Source organism: Homo sapiens, chromosome 12 (assembly GCF_000001405.40).
Source record: "Homo sapiens chromosome 12, GRCh38.p14 Primary Assembly".
In the NCBI taxonomy this organism is placed as follows: Eukaryota; Metazoa; Chordata; class Mammalia; order Primates; family Hominidae; genus Homo; species Homo sapiens.
The window spans coordinates 117,271,455-117,288,614 of record NC_000012.12 but is presented as its reverse complement, the minus strand read 5'-3'; the positions used below and the strand labels follow the sequence as shown (position 1 = coordinate 117,288,614).

General features: G+C 44.9%; 1 protein-coding gene across 4 annotated transcripts in view, besides 1 other annotated feature; it reads left to right on the top strand.

Moving 5' to 3' along the window:
* Positions 1 to 17,160, top strand: part of NOS1 (nitric oxide synthase 1) — a 153,485-nt gene that overhangs the window by 73,012 nt on the left and 63,313 nt on the right. For all 4 annotated transcript variants that reach the window (NM_000620.5, NM_001204218.2, NM_001204214.2 and 1 more), the window contains 6 exons: positions 396 to 541; positions 2,349 to 2,511; positions 3,283 to 3,374; positions 7,749 to 7,890; positions 10,517 to 10,656; positions 16,056 to 16,230. In NM_000620.5, the coding sequence (NP_000611.1) occupies positions 396 to 541; positions 2,349 to 2,511; positions 3,283 to 3,374; positions 7,749 to 7,890; positions 10,517 to 10,656; positions 16,056 to 16,230 (858 nt within the window). The remainder of the gene's footprint in view (positions 1 to 395; positions 542 to 2,348; positions 2,512 to 3,282; positions 3,375 to 7,748; positions 7,891 to 10,516; positions 10,657 to 16,055; positions 16,231 to 17,160) is intronic.
* Positions 6,980 to 7,479: an enhancer, noted in NCBI's record as "H3K27ac hESC enhancer chr12:117718941-117719440 (GRCh37/hg19 assembly coordinates)". NCBI's record gives its function as "activates a minimal SCP1, AML or CMV promoter by ChIP-STARR-seq in naive H9 embryonic stem cells {active_cell/tissue: H9 hESC(naive)}" and the evidence as "EXISTENCE:reporter gene assay evidence [ECO:0000049][PMID:30033119]".

Sequence of the window (17,160 nt, the reverse complement as noted above, 5' to 3'; positions counted from 1 at the left end):
GGAGGGGAAAAATTAGGGTCCTGTTTTGCAATCAGTCTATCATAGATGCATTCAAATGAGTTACTGTAGCCACTCTATTAGTTCCTCCTTGATCATCATGCAAAATCTAAAAATATTTCAGATTTTAGTACCAATGATTCTGATTCCTAGTCAAAAAGCTTCTGTTCCCAAGATGAGTAGAGCAAATACTTTAGGAACCTTAAAATGCTACTTATTGTTCCTTAACATGACTATGATCATATCCACCAAGGATTTGAAGCTGGTACTTGAGAAACTGCCTCTGGGAATTAAGGGCCAGATAAACTCAACCATGAGTACGAGATCCAAGCCCACAGCCTAACACCTGCCACTCTTGGGTAAAACCAAGCAATACCCCAAATCTCTTGATCTTCCAGGAAACGGGATGCACTGAGTACATCTGCATGGGCTCCATCATGCATCCTTCTCAGCATGCAAGGAGGCCTGAAGACGTCCGCACAAAAGGACAGCTCTTCCCTCTCGCCAAAGAGTTTATTGATCAATACTATTCATCAATTAAAAGGCAAGTGTGTGTCAATTCCGGGGAGCCCGAGGTAAGTTATCGAATGCTGGAGAGAAAGATGTCAGCCCCAACTTTGCAAACCAAGGCCAAGGCACAAGGCCTCTGCCATACACAGAGGCTTAAGACTGGCTACCCATAGGTCACATCTGTTCCCCAGAAGTGCTTTTGTTTCACCTGCAAAGGGTTGCTTATAATTTGAAAGATTTCAAGCAATTCCATGCCTAGATACATACCCTAAAGAAATTCTCACACCTGTTCACAAGGAACCATCAGTAAGAATGTTCACTGAAACATTGTTTATAGCAGGAAAAAATTAAATTAAAGAACTAACAAGAGACCAGGTGCAGTGGCTCACGCCTGTAATCCCAGCACTTTGGGAGACTGAGGCGGGCAGATTGCTTGAGCCCAAGAATTCAAGACCAGCCTGGCCAAAATGGTGAAATCTTACCTCTACTAAAAATACAAAAATTAGTAGGGCATGGTGGTGCACACCTATAATCCTAGCTACTTGGGATGCTGAGGCATGAGAATTGCTTGAACCCGGGAGGTGGAGGTTGTAGTGAGCCAAGATCACACCACTGCACTCCAGCCTGGGCGAACAGAGCGAGACTCCATCTCAAAAAAAAACAAAAGAAAGAAACCACATAAACACCATCAACAGGAGAATGGGTAAGTTATGGTATATTCCAGTGATGGAATACTATAACAACTGTAAAAATCAAAGGGATTAGCGCTCTGCATGTTAATGGAATTTAAGTTCATGTTCATAGCTAACTTTGAGCAAAAGAAAGGATAAATTGTAAAAGGATACATCCAGTATAGCACCATTTATATGAATTTTTTTATTGATTTATTTTTTTGAGACAGAGTCTTGCTCTGTCACCCAGGCTGGAGTGCAGTGGCATGATCTTGGCTCACTGCACCCTCTGCCTCCCAGACTCAAGCGATTCTCTGCCTCAGCCTCCTGAGTAGCTGGGATTACGGGCACGCACCACCACACCCAGCTAATTTTTGTATTTTTTGTAGAGACAGAGTTTTGCCATGTTGGCCAGGCTGGTCTCAAATTCCTAGCCTCAAGTGATCCACCCTCCTCGGCCTCCCAAAGTGCTGGGACTACAGGTGTGAGCCACCATACCCGGCCTGTATGCCTATATGAATGCTTTAAACATGCAAAATGATATTGTACATGATTGAAGGATAGATATACATGTGGCAAAGATATGAACAAGTGTATGAGAATGGTAAATGCCAGGTTCAAGATAGCAGTCACTTCTGGGGACAGAATGGGCTACAGTGGGGAAGTATTCCCCAAGAAACTATTATAGTATTTTTTAGGCTTGGGACATGGGAGTTTATTATATTATCCTGTATACCATTTTGTAAACCAAAAATTTTTCTAACTTTCTAAAATTGAATTCATTGCCAACATTTAAAAATTATAAGAGTTCCCCTTAAAACTCAGATTTCCAGTTTCTCTGGAAAGATTTAGCAGTCCTGGGTCCCCACTCCTGTCAGGTGACAACTGACAGGAGTGGAGCCGTGGCTGCCCGCTTTGGACAAGGCCTGGCTCACTTGTTTGCCACAGTCCCCACCCAGCTGGTTGACTTATATCTACAATGTTCAGCCTTTGTGGCCATTTGAGTTTACAGTGTCTGCTTTATCTTGCATCCAGAAATCAAACTGTTGCATCCAGAAATCAACTTGGAATTTTTTGTAGCTTCCAGCCTCTTGGAATAGCTCTCCCCTTCCACTAACTTCTAATTCAGAAGAGGGGGTGATGTTCCCATGTCCCTTCCTCTTCACTCAGATTTGGCTCCAAAGCCCACATGGAAAGGCTGGAAGAGGTGAACAAAGAGATCGACACCACTAGCACTTACCAGCTCAAGGACACAGAGCTCATCTATGGGGCCAAGCACGCCTGGCGGAATGCCTCGCGCTGTGTGGGCAGGATCCAGTGGTCCAAGCTGCAGGTAGGTGGTGAAGTCAGATACCTTGAAGAGCCCTTAAATGAGGGAAGAGGGGAAGGGGAGTGGATGGAGCTTTAAAAAGGATAAGCTTCTACCAAGGGTACCTGGTAGCCATGGTGACCTATCAGATGATGGTCACGGGGTCCCACATTCCAAGATCACAGCCAGCTCTAGATGATAATCATGTCTTATTTAGCCAACACAGTGCTTTTGCAAAAATGAACTTGCATATCTCTTGGAAGGGAGGGCTTATACTTTTCAGTTGACCGCAGACCTCACCACTCCCTTTTGTCTTGCATCTACTTAGCCTATTTATCTGCCTACTCCCTGAAGGCATTAGTTTCTGTGTCCCTTGGTTACGATTTTATTTTAGGAAATAGTTTAAAGTTGGAAGTAGATTTGTTATCAAGATCAGGGGGGTTTTGTTTGATTTTTGTTCTGTTTTTTAATCCCTAATCCCTAGTAACCTAACAGAAAATGTAACCAGCCCATCTAAACCCCCTCCTTCATTTGCCATTCCTTTCCCACATTCACTTTCATGCCGTGCCTACTTTTAGGCGATTTTTTTTTTTTTTCTGGTCAAATTGGCCTTGGTTATTAGGATAGAAAAGAGAAAATATAAAATGCAGCCTGGGACTCAGTAATGAGGTGCCCACTTCACCAATGTAGCAGCAGCTGGAGTGGGATCTGGGTTCTCCTAAAATGGGAAGATTGCGCTGGGGGAGCTGGGGAGGGAAAGAAGAGGCAATCAGTTCCGCCCTGTGCCTCTTCCAGGTATTCGATGCCCGTGACTGCACCACGGCCCACGGGATGTTCAACTACATCTGTAACCATGTCAAGTATGCCACCAACAAAGGGAACCTCAGGTGAGCTGACCAGCTGGGCACTGGGGAGCAGGAGGTCAAAAGTCCCCACAGCATTGTACTTTGACTCTGGAGTCAGCTCACCTGCCAGGGAAATGCACCTCATCTCAGGGACACGGGCCAAGCTGGGAGAGGTGTCCTGGCATCTTTTTTTTTTATTTTTTATTTTATTTTATTTATTTATTTTTTTTTTTGAGACAGAGTCTTGCTCTGTCGCCCAGGCTGGAGTACAGTGGCATGATCTCGGCTCACTGCAACCTCTGCCTCCCAGGTTCAAGCGATTCTCCTGCCTCAGCCTACCGAGTAGCTGGGACCCAAGCACCCGCCACCACACCCAGCTAATTTTTTTTATTTTTAGTAGAAACGGGCTTTCATGATGTTGACCATGCTGGTCTCAAACTCCTGACCTCAAGTGCTCCACCCGCCTCGGCCTCCCAAAATGCTGGGATTACAGGCATGAGCCACCACGCCCAGCCCCGGCATCTTTATTCCATACACCATCCCATTTTCCTTCTTTTCTGGGACAAGTGGATTCCTGTGTGGTTTGCAAAACTACAGCAGCAAACATCACGTTCAACCCACAGTTCAGTATCTTTCCTGGAGAGGACAGGAACAAATAGTTGAGATTCCCAGGAATCAGAAAATCCTATTGCTGGTGGTGACCTGCTTTTACTGTGTCTTGCTCTGTCGCCTGGAGACAAACCAAACCAAATCTCCCTTGGTTTAAAAGGCAGTTTCTCTTGCTGATACAATGGGAACTGCTCCTTCAGGTTCCACCCAGCCAAGCCATGCCTTGGACTCGTCTTCACCAATACAAAGAACAAAGCCACAGGGAGCAGGCCGAGGCAGGCAGACATCCATGTGGCTGGTGGCGGCCACGCTGGCAAGTCTCAGCTGGGAGAGGGACAGGTGGAAATGAACAGCTGGGGCCCCACAGACAGCCGGCTACACTTGTTGACTCTGCCCGCTCACTGCTGCCACGGCATCTGTTCCCAGCCACTGAGCACTAGCCCCATCTTGGAGCCACACAGGATCACTGCAGAGATATTCCCACAAGCGCCCGGGCTTCACTGAGTTCATCCAAAAGTGGCTTCTTTGCATGAAACATGGGTTTTCTTAGATGTGTCTCTTCTCTTCCGTAAGAAGGAAATGGTGTTTGCCAATTTTCTGAGTCCACCAGTAAGAAAACGGCCTGTAATCTAAGCCTGGGCCTGCATGAGGAATTGGTATTTAGGTGTCTTTCCCAAGACAACTCTTTTCCAAGAGACCTCACCCCTTAAAGAATATTAAAGAACCCTCTTGTGTATCCGGACCTGGTCGAGATTAGGCCCTCAAAGAGTTTATGGGCTCTTCTGGTGGATTTCCTTTTTTTTTTTTTTTTTTTTTTTGAGACAGAGTCTTGCTCTGTTACCCAGGTTGAAGTACAGTGGCACAATCTTGGCTCACTGCAACCTCCACCTCCCAGGTTCAAACAATTTTCCTGCCTCAGCCTCCCGAGTATCTGGGATTACAGGTACACACCACCATGCCCAGCTAATTTTTGTATTTTTAGTAGAGACAGGGTTTCACCATGTTGGCCAGGCTAGTTTCAAACTCCTGACCTCAGCTATCTACCTGCCTCGGCCTCCCAAAGTGCTGGGATCACAGGTGTGAGCCACCACGCCTAGTCTCTTCTGGTAGTTTTCAAATGGGGCTCTGAGCAGGCTCTGAGTATGGGTCACCCCAGTCCCAGCAGTGCACCTCCACTTTTTTCACTGCTGTATTAAGGGGTCTTTGTGAGATCTTCTATTAAAGAAAACATTCAGCAGATTCTTTTTCTTTCTATAGTTTTTAACCCTCATGTCTGAAAGCGATGAGAACTGTATAAGAATGTATACCATGCAGCTGGGCGCTGTGGCTCACGCCCGAAATCCCAGCAAGGTGGGAGGCCAAGGTGAATGGATCACTTGAGCTCAAGAGTTTGAGACCAGCCTGGGCAATATGGTGAAACCCCATCTCTACAGAAAATGCAAAAAATTAGTAGGACGTGCTGGAGTGTGCCTGTAGTCCCAGCTACTTGGGAGGCTGAGGTGGGAGGATTGCTTGAACGCAGGAGGTGGAGGTTGCAGTGAGCCGAGGTTGCACCACTGCACTCCACACTCCAGCCTGAGTGACAGAGTGAGACTGTCTCAAAAAAAAAAAAAAAAATATATATATATATATATATAATGTTATAGGAATAATCTGTGCATAGAGGGGAAGGACAGCAGAGAGAAGAAGAGAGGGAGAGATGCAGGTTTACACTGTGCTGAGGGAAGCAGGAGAGTACAGGTATAGATGTGTGTTCTGGTTCCTCTGTTGGTCTCAGTTTCTGCACATAGAGTAGGCATCACACCCCACTCACTGTGTGTGATTCTAGTGTTTCTAAACACACTTTTAAAATATACACATTACACAAACACCCTTTATCGGATGTTCAACCAGAGAAACAGCAATGTGTTTTAGTGCTGGAGGGAAAACTGTTTGACTCACTCCGTGTTCATCTCCAAGATGGCGCCTCTGTTAAGAGATCTTTAAGAGCATCTTTGCCTCTATGTGATTTTGGCCTCCAGCCTGGATTCTAGACTCACCCTCAGCTGTGATGCATCACCCCAGCAGAATTACATGCTACGTTGTCTTGTGTAGAGAGCAAGACCTAAAAACCGTGCTCAGAAAGAAGGCTCTATGAAACTAGATGAGACAGGGGTTGCTGTATGGAGGAAGCAGATTTGAATCAGGTCTTGAACTTGGACATAAAATGGAAGAGGGGGATTCCAGCCAAGGGGATCAGCAGGGACACAGTTCTGGACAGAAATGTATATGTGAGAAGAGATCTATAAGCAAGGAGTTGGACCCGAGATGCCATCTTTTTGTTGACACAAGAAGCCAGGACCATGTTTCCATAGCCTGGGATGGGGGGCCAGCGAATCCAGCTGGCAAGAGCTCCTGCTGTGAGATGACATTGAACTACATCGTGAAAAAGTTATTTTCCTTTCCTTTTTTTTTTTTCCAATCCTGATGATGATGTTGAGGAGAAAGGCTCAGTTTGGTGCTAAGATATTGTTAACACCTAATACTTGCTGATCTCCCTTTTAACATAGAGACCAGGGCTCCAGCTAGGACCTTCAGCAGACAACATCTTTCCACAATTAATAAAAGAATACAGCCTTCACTGTTGCCTATTTAGGCAGGCAAAGCCAATGGCTGGTGACCTGCAATTTTCTTTTAAATAAATAAATGTGAATACAAATGCAAGCTGATTGCTTTTTAATGATAAGTCTATAAACTTTGGTTTGGTAAGGAGGGTGGGCAAAGTGGATAAAATTAATGATGGCTGGAAGAAGACTGGAATCGGGATTCTGTAGTGCATTCTTTTTTTTTTTTTTTTCTTTTTTTGAGATGGGAGTCTTGCTCTGTTGCCAGGCTGGAGTGCAGTGGTGTGATCCCGGCTCACTGCAACCTCTACCTCCCGAGTTCAAGCGATTCTCCTCAGCCTCCCGAGTAGCTGGGACTACAGGCACCCCCCACCACAGCCAGCTAATTTTTGTATTTTTAGTAGAGACAGGGTTTCACCATGTGTGCCAGGATGGTCTCCATCTCTTGTCCTCGTGATCCGCCTGCCTTGGCCTCCCAAAGTGCTGGGATTATAGGCATGAGCCACCATGCCTGGCCTGTAGTGCATTCCTTTTTTTTTTTTTTTTTTTTTGAGATGGAGTCTCGCTCTGTCGCCCAGGCTGGAGTGCAGTGGTGTGATCTTGGCTTACTGAAACCTCTGCCTCCCAGGTTCAAGCGATTCTTCTGCCTCAGCCTCCCAAGTAGCTGGGATTACAGGCGTGCGCCACCACACCCAGCTGACTTTTTGTATTTTTGTAGAGACGGGGTTTCACTGTGTTGGCCAGGCTGGTCTCAAACACCTGACTTCCTGATCCACCCGCCTCGGCCTCCCAAAGTGCTGGGATTATAGGCATGAGCCACCGCGCCCGGCGTCTAGTGCATTCTTAAAGGGAAACAAGGTCTGATGTTTCCGTGGAAATGACTGGCTGCAAAAGAACTCTTTGGAAGACTGGCTCAAGTCAATATTATTTAAAAGTCTCCAGCTAGAAAGAGATTCTTTCCTTCAGCATGGTGGCATGGGAGCTCCCACCCCCTCCACCGTTTTCCTCACACCATAGTTCTGGTGGAGGAACAGAGCACGGCCCATCCCTTCCGACCGCTGCTCCATTGGCCCTGGGGACCTTGGCACGGAGGTAATCTACCCTGAGCCTCAAGCAGCTGTCGCCCTGGGTGGCGCCATGTTTAGTATGTTCCCACAGCGCAAGTCCCGCCCTGATGCCGGGTGTTCCCCTCTCTCCACCACAGGTCTGCCATCACCATATTCCCCCAGAGGACAGACGGCAAGCACGACTTCCGAGTCTGGAACTCCCAGCTCATCCGCTACGCTGGCTACAAGCAGCCTGACGGCTCCACCCTGGGGGACCCAGCCAATGTGCAGTTCACAGAGGTGCGAGCGTTTCCGCCCCCTACCCTGCCCCAACATGGGCTCTTATGTCCCCAGACCACAGACTTTTTCGGGCTTAATGCTATCATCACAGGAGATCCGCTGATGGGGTCATTTACTCTTCTCCAAACCTGCTTCTCCATCAGGCTGTTCCCCAATCTAATTCTTTTACAGCTGGACATTTGGTCACTTTCATGCCATTACCTCACTCAGCCCTCCTGATGGGAACTGTTCTCCCATTTCACAGATGGGTAGACCGAGTCTCACCAAGGCCAAGTGAGTTACTCAAGACTGCCAAATGAGTAGAGAAGAAAAGCTAGAACTACAGTCCAAATCTCCTGCCTCTCACCAGGAAGGGAAGAGCCGAGAAATGGAAGCCATATCTGGCATCCACCTTTTCTGAGTTACGAGATAATGTCAGTTTCATTTCATTCCTTCATTTGTTGATACAACAATTTGAGCCACCCAAGCCTTTGAGTAGGCTTGACTTTGTCTGTCACCAGCATCACTACAGTTACTGGTAGCCCAAGTCAATTCATAAAAGCCACCAGGAAAGTGACTACCACCATCTCCCTGCCCAGAGTTCCTTCCAGGTGGTAGTGCGGGCAGGTAGCACAGGTAAGATATGGTAGCTTATACGGACCATGCCCACATGACAGCACAAGCACATCCCGTGTCTAGAATGATCTCAGGCACACAGGCCTGCTACCACCTTTCCTTTATCACCCAAATAATACCCCGCTGAATTTCACCGTCGTCCTTTGCTCAAGCCCCTCCCGGGTGGTACCTCCTTGAAGATGTAGCTGGCAAGGCTAAGGGCTGCTCCACTCCCTCCTGGCTGCCGACTTCATTTGCATGTGGCTTTTCTTATGAAAATGTTATTCTCATGAGGAGGGGACTGTAACCAGGGCAACCAGGAGCTGCACCTGTGCTGTTTTAGAAGCAGCCAGGCTCAGACTCCCTGCTCCACTTGGCTGAGCACTAACTGTGTGTACTTGGCTGACCTTGTCCTCGTGGTCACCAGAACATAAATGCCCCAACCTCTTCCTCTCGCTCCATCTCTGGAAACCTTGCTGAGCGGGACATGTTCTCCTGTTCCATGATTTGGTGTTTCCTCTTTTTACTAAGCACAAAGAATCATTCCAAACCTAACCATGCAATTTTACCTTTTGAAACCCTCTAACCCTGCCCTGTCTAATAGGGACACATGTGGCTATTGATCACTTGAAATGTGGCCAGTCCCAGTTGAGATGTGCCATAAGAGAAAATATACACTGGATCTCGAAGTCTGGGTCCAAAAAAGAGAGGGAAATAACTCATTGATCTTGGTTTGTTTTTTTTGGTTTTTTTTTTGTTTTTTGAGATGGAGTCTCACTCTGTTGCCAGGCTGGAGTGCAGTGGTGCAATCTCAGCTCACTGCAACTCTGAGTTCAAGCAATTCCCCTGCCTCTGCCTCCTGAGTAGCTGGGACTACAGATGCGCACCACCACGCCCGGCTAATTTTTTGTATTTTAGTAGAGATAGGGTTTCACCATGTTGGCCAGGATGCTCTCAATATCCTGACCTCATGATCCGCCCACCTCTGCCTCCCAAAGTGCTGGGATTACAGGCGTGAGCCACCGCGCCCGGCCCATTGATCATTTTTAATGTTGAAATAGTAATAATATGGATACATTAGGGTAATATATTTATTAACAAATTAATAGATTCACTGGATTAATAAGTATATTTTTATTTTTAATGTTAAATATATTATTTAAATACACTCATATTGATAATTTATTATTAATAAATTAATGTTGATATTTAATGTATTATTTGATATATTAGATGAATAAGTGTTACATATTTAATTTTAATGTCAAATATATAATTAGAATATATGATAGTAATATTTAATATACTATTAATAAATTAATATTAATATCAAGGACATTATTGAACTTTAAGATGAGTATATTATTAATATTATTTTCTCCCATGATTTGAAGAAGCCTAGCAAAAAAAAGATAAAATCAAAATTATTTTCACCAGTTGTTTTTTTTTTCTAATGTGGCTACTAGAAAGTTTTAATTACTTAGGTGGCTTGCATTATATTTTTATTGGACAGCTGCTCTAACAAATGCATTTTATACTGTAATTCTAATACATCTGCCTTCATCAAATTCAGCAGATTTTCTTTGTATCTTACAATACCTTATATTATTACAAACACAGAGCTGGCAGCCTGCAGATGCACTTGTTAGTCAGGTTCAGCCCTTGCCCTCTGGGAATTCCAGTGGGCAGGGAAGACCTGGAAAACAAAGCTCAGTACTAGAGGAAGGGTTTGCCCTCTGTCCTGTGGGCCCATGAGAACTCATGCTAGTTACTAGGTTAGTGCAAAAATAATTGTGGTTTTTGCTATTGAAAGTAATGGCAAAACCCGCAATTACTTTTGCACCAACCTAATACATGGTGATGTCAGGGAGAACTCTATAAAGCAGGTGATGTGGTCCAAGAGCCTCCAGAGGAAATGTCTCCTGGGGGCTTGCATTTGGATCTCTATCCACCCCACCCCCGCTTCCCACATAAGGGTTGTGTTTGTAGGGTGTGGGGTACAGTGGCATTACCTGGCCGGGTCTGCTTGCAGATATGCATACAGCAGGGCTGGAAACCGCCTAGAGGCCGCTTCGATGTCCTGCCGCTCCTGCTTCAGGCCAACGGCAATGACCCTGAGCTCTTCCAGATTCCTCCAGAGCTGGTGTTGGAAGTTCCCATCAGGCACCCCAAGTAAGAGGGACTGGCAAGGGGTGGGAGAGGGTGAGTGGGTTTGCCCAGTGCCCCTCTTTGCCCAGCCCCATCCCCCCTGGCTTTCTTTCTAGTCCAGACCGAAGCTGAAAGGGGAAAGGGGGGCTTGGTTCCTGTCCTCACTGCGGGCTTGGGCAGAGTGAGTTCCCTCAAGGAGCAAAAAGACCTCTTTGACCAGCCTGGGGACCACCACCTTTTCTGAATCATCTCACTCCTAAGCCATTAACAAGGACCTGCCCTTCTTCCAGCCCTAAGCATTGAAAGAGCAGAAGCACCATACTTTCTTGTTGCGAGCACACTTTTTATTTTCCTGTTCCTTTTTCTTTTTCTTTTTCTTTCTTTTTTTTGAGACAGGGTCTGCTGCTGTTGCCCAGGCTGGAGTGCAGTGGCACAAACATGACTCATTGCAGCCTCGACCTGCTGGGCTCAAGTGATCCTCCCACCTCAACCCCTGCAAGTAGCTGGGATTATAGGGTTACAGCCACACACCACCATGCTTGGCCAATTTTTGTGTTTTTAGTAGAGACGGGGTTTTGCCATATTGTCCAGGCTGGTCTTGGACTCCTGGGCTCAAGTGATCCTCCCACCTCAGCCTCCCAAAGTGCTGGCATTACAGGCATGAGCCACTGTACCTGACCCACATTTTCAATTGAGAGAACTGTTTAAAACTCTATAGGATCTGATGATCAAGATAGAGTTGTAAACAGTTCTCTCAATTGAAATGCAAATCAAAACCACAATGAGATAGCATCTCACCTCAGTTACAATGGCTTATCCGAAAGACAGGCAATAACAAACGCTGGTGAAGATGTAGAGAAAAGGGAACCCTTGTACACTGTTGGTGGCAATGTAAATTAGTACAACCACTATGGAGAAGAGTTTGGAGATCCTCAAAAAACTAAAAATTGAGCTACCATATGATCCAGCAATCCCACTGCTGGGTATATACCCAAAAGAAGGGAAATCAGTATATCGAAGAGATATCTGTACCCTTTTGTTTGTTGCAGCACTGTTTACAATAGCTGCAACGCTAAGGAAGCAACTTAAGTGTCCATCAACAGATGAATAGATAAAGAAAATGTGGCACAGATACACAATGAAGTACTATACAGCTGCAAAAAAGAATGAGATCCAGTCATTTGTAACAACATGGATGGAACTGGAGATCATTATGTTAAGTGAAATAAGGCAGTCAGAGAAAGACAAACATCACATGTTCTTAGTTATTTGTAGGATCTAAAAATGAAAACAATAGAGCTCATGGGCATAAAGAGTAGAAGGATGGTTACCAGAGGCTGGGAAGGGGTAGTGGAGGGGGTGAGGGGAAGATGGGGGCGGTTAAGAGGTAGAAGAAAGAAATAGAGGCATGGTGGCTCACGCCTGTAATTCCAGCACTTTGGGAGGCCGAAGCAGAAGGATCACCTGAGGTCAAGAGTTCAAGGCCAGCCTGGCCAACATGGCAAAACCCTATCTCTACTAAAAATACAAAAATTCCCTGGGCATGGTGGCACATGCCTGTAATCCCAGCTACTTGGGATGCTGAGGCAGGAGAATCACCTGAACCTGGGAAGCAGAGGTTGCAGTGAGCCCAAGTTGTGCCAGTGCACTCCAGCCTGGGCAACAGAGCAAGACCCCATCTCAAAAAAAAAATAGTTAGAAAGAATGAATACAACCTATTATTTGATAGCACAACAGGGTGACTATAGTCAATAATAACATAATTGTATGTTTTAAAATAAACAGTGGAATTGGATTCTTTGTAACTCGAAGGATAACTGCTTGAGGGGATGGATACCCCATTCTCCATGATGTGCTTATTTCACATTACAGGCCTGTATCAAAACATTTCATGTACCCCATAAGTACATGCACCTACTATGTACCCACAAAAATTAAAGATAATAATTAAAAAACTCTACAGAACCTGGTGTGGATCAAGTTCAAAAGGAATTTGGAGTCATGAAGTTGCTGCAAGGTCTCGGGCCAGCAACACAAACAGCATTTGCCCTTTGAGAGTAAAGGACATCCACCGTGAGGCACTAGACTCAAACCTGGGAATGAATAAAATCAAGGGGAGTTGCTAACACACTCGATAATAAGATAAATATAAGAATGCAATATTTTTTAAATCAAAATTAATGTTTCATTTTATTTTTCTAATTGATGTCTAATAAGTGCATATATTCATGAGATATATAATGATGTTTTAATACATATAATGTATAGTGATCAGATCAGTATAATTAATACACCCATTGTCTCAAACGCTTATCCTTTGTATTGGAAACATTCACTATCCTTTCTTCTAGCTATTTGAAAATGTATATTAATGTTAACTATAGTCATCCTACAGTGGTGTAGAACAGTACAACTTATTCCTTTCTAGCTATAATTTTGTATCCTTTAACAAATCACTCCCCATTCTCCCTTCTCCCTCCTCCTCCCAGCCTCCAGCATCCTCTGTTCCACTTTTTACTTCCATGAGATCAACTTTTTTTGTAGCTTCTACCTATGAGTGAGAATATTCAGTGTTTAACTTTCAGTTCCTGGTTCATTTCACTTAACATAACGTCCTCCAGTTCTATCTATGTTGCTGTGAGTGACATGGTTTCATTCTTTTTTATGGCTGAATGGTATTCCAGTGTGGGGAGAGAGAGAGAGAGAGAATTAATTTGGAGTTCATGACTCCAAATTTCTTTTGAACTTGATCCACACCAGACCTGGTAGAGTTTTTTTTTAATTATTACTTTTAATTTTTGTGGGTAGATAGTAGGTGTATATATATATGTGTGTATATATTTATGCGGTACATAAGACGTTTTGATATGGGCATGCAATGTGAAATAAGCACATCATGGAGAATGGGGTATTTATCCCCTCAAACATTTATCCTTTGAGTTACAAACAATTAAATTACACTCTTTAAGTTATTTTGAAATATACAATTGTGTTATTATTGACTGTAGTCAGTATATATAACATATCACACATTTTCTTTATATCACACAGTATATATAAAATATCACACATTTCTTTATCCATTCATCCGTTGTTAGACACCTAGGTTGATTCCATATCTTGGCTACTGTGAATAGTGCTTCAATAAACACAGGGTTGTAGGTATCACTTTGACATGTTAATGTCCTTTCTTTTTTTTTTTTTTTTTTTTTTGTGAGACGGAGTGTCACTCCAGCCCAGGCTGGAGTGCAGTAGCGCCATCTTGGCTCACTGCAACCTCCACCTCCCAGGTTCAAGCCATTCTCCTGCCTCAGCCTCCCAAGTAGCTGGGATTACAGGCACGAACCACCACGCCCAGCTAAGTTTTTGTATTTTTAGTAGAGACGGGGTTTCACCATGTTGGTCAGGCTGGTCTTGAACCCCTGACCTCAAATGATCCACCTGCCTCGGCCTCCTAAAGTGCTAGGATTACAGGTGTGAACCACTGCGCCCAGCCTGATTTCCTTTCCTTTGGATAAATGCCCACTGGTGGGATTGCTGGATCTCGTGGTAGTTCTATTTGCAGTTTTTTGAGGATCTGCCATACCGTTCTGCATACTCCGGTACTAGCCTATATTCCCACCAACAGTGTATGAGAGTTCCCTTTTCTCTGCAACCTTGCCAGCATTTGTTATTTTTTGTCTCTTTATAATTGCCGTCCTAACTGTGATGAAATGTTATCTTATTGTGGGTTTCGTTTGCATATCCCTGATGTTGAGTGAAGCTGAGCATTTCTTCCTGTATTTGTTGGTTATCTATCTTCTTTGGAGAAATGTCTGTTCAGAGCAAGTGCCCATTTTTTAATCCAATTGTTTGGGTTTTTTGCTTTTGAAATGTGTGAGTTCCTTGTATATTCTGGATATTAATCCCTTGGTGGATGAATAGTTTTCAGATATTTTCCCCCATTCTTTAGGTTGTCTTTTCACTCTGTTGCTTGTTTCTTTGCTCTGCAGACGTTTGTTAGTTTAATATAATCCTGTGTGTTTATTTTTGCTTTTGTTGCCTGGGCTTTTGAGGTCTTATTCATAAAATCTTTTCCCAGACCAATTTCCCTGATGTTTTCTTCTAGTAGTTTTATAGTTTCTGGTCTCAAAGTTAATTTTTTTAAAAAACAGCACATGATGAACAATATATCAACATTTTCAATAAAGATAGGATCCAGCTCAGGACTGAGATTAGGGTCAGATGAACGAGGTGTCATACAAGTGTAGGGTGGAATCCTACATTATTGTTCATCATATATATACATAAATTTTGATTTTTTAAATGTTTCTTTAAAATATTGTATAAATAAATAATAGCATTGATCCTAATTATTGGGTTTTTATTAGGTTGATGCAAAAAGTAACTGTGGTTTTTGCCATTACTTTTAATGGCAAAAGTAAACTTAAGAGGGGGAAACTATTCAGTTGGTGCAAAAGTAATTGCAAAACCACAGCTACTTTTGCATCAACCTAATAGCTCCCCCCACTTAAATTTTACACCCAAGGATAGTGCCACACCTGCCTCACCCTAGTCCCAGCCTTGGAGAGGGAGCCGGTGTCCTGAGGCTCCTGACACTGCCTGATATCTGGGAACTCACCCAGTTCCTTGGTGAAATGTAGCCTATATTTATTCATTCATTTATTGGCTCATCCAACACAGTTCCCCATGCATGCCAGGCATTGTGCTAGCTTTTGGAGCTGACTCAATCCCTGCCCCCACGGTGCTTATGATCTCAAGGAAGAGAAGTTCTTACACACATAATTACTCAAATAACCACTTAATTTTAATAAAGTGCTGCAAAGGAAATGTATGGTGCCTAGGATGAAATCCCCTGACCAGCTGGGCCTCAGGGAAGGCTTTCCAGAATAAGCATGATTTTAGCTGACAATTAAAGTATGAGTAAGAGCTGGAAGCACAGAAGGAAGGGAGAAGGTCCCAGGAGGAAGCCTGCATGACAGAGCGAGACTGCATTCCCCTACCCCCCAAAAAAAAGAAAGAAAGAAGAAGTTTGGGTGACAGAGTTTGGCTCTGAAGTTTGGCTGCCTGTGCAAAGGCCCTGAGGGTAGGAGGGTGCTCAGTCGGGGAAGGGGGAGAGAGGTCCCCACACTTTCTCCTGGACTCACTTTCAGGGTGGGTTTGAGAGAGAAACAGCAGCCTAAGGCAGTAGTTTCCAGGCCTGAATATCCATCCGAAGCACCTGAGAAATACGTTAAAAATGCACATTCTCAGGCCCCCAGCTGCAGAACCTGCAATTCCACAGATCTGAAGCAGGGCCCAGGAACCATATTCTGACCTTGTCAGTCCCAGTCCATCCTTGGCATTTCAGCATCTCTAGATTCAAGCTGTCCCGCCCATGAGACACCTGCTCCGGGTGAGCTGGGCCCTGTTGCTCCCTGCAGGTTTGAGTGGTTCAAGGACCTGGGGCTGAAGTGGTACGGCCTCCCCGCCGTGTCCAACATGCTCCTAGAGATTGGCGGCCTGGAGTTCAGCGCCTGTCCCTTCAGTGGCTGGTACATGGGCACAGAGATTGGTGTCCGCGACTACTGTGACAACTCCCGCTACAATATCCTGGAGGTAAGGGCCCTCTCTGGTCACCACAGGGGAAAAGCACATAGCAGAGGGTGCCAGCTCAGCAGTCCCCTTCCCCACGGCGAGCTTGGTGGCTTGGAAACTTGAAGGGGTTAGAATAGAATTGCAATCCCAGAGAAGCCCCTGGAAATGCCAGGGGCATCCATGTCTTTAACAACAATGAAAATAACAGCAAACACGCACATAGCACATAGCACGTGCTAACAGCATCCGAAGCACTGTTGCTGTGTTCCATTCTCATTTCATCCTCACCTGAACCTTGAGGTATGAGAATCCCCCTTCGACAGATGACAAGCTCAAGGTCACACAGCTAGCCGGCAGCAGGGCTGGGAAATGTGTCTGGTTTGACTTCATGCTCCAAGTTCATTACCACTCCACTCCGCTGCCTCTCGGTCTTAAATCTTGTTAGAAGAGCTTGAGGATGACTGACAAACTCGGGACATATTTAGTGTCTTTTCTAAAAAACAAGGGAGGAGGGTTGGCAGTGGTTCCCCACTCTAAGCATTTCTCGGCAGAGGGTCTGATTCCCTCCCGGGCTGAGTCATCCGTATCTACTAAAAAGTGCTGGAGCGGTGCTTCCTGAAGCCCAACTTTGGTGAAAGCATCATGATTGCTGTGTTTTTGTCAGCAAATGTCTCTAACAACACTCTGCTGCTGTTGGATTTGTTTCAAAAGAGGGCACTGAGAAACAGAGAAGTTAAGCACTGGGCCTGTGTCACACAGGAGCTAAGGCACAGAACCAAGATTAGAACCCAGAACCGAGCATCAGGTTTGTGCTGTTAAAAATCCACCGGTTGGCTGGGCGCGGTGGCTCATGCCTGTAATCCCAGCACTTTGGGAGGCCGAGGCAGGCTGATCACAGCCTGGAGTTCGAGACCAGCCTGACCAACTTGGTGAAACCCCGTCTCTACTAAA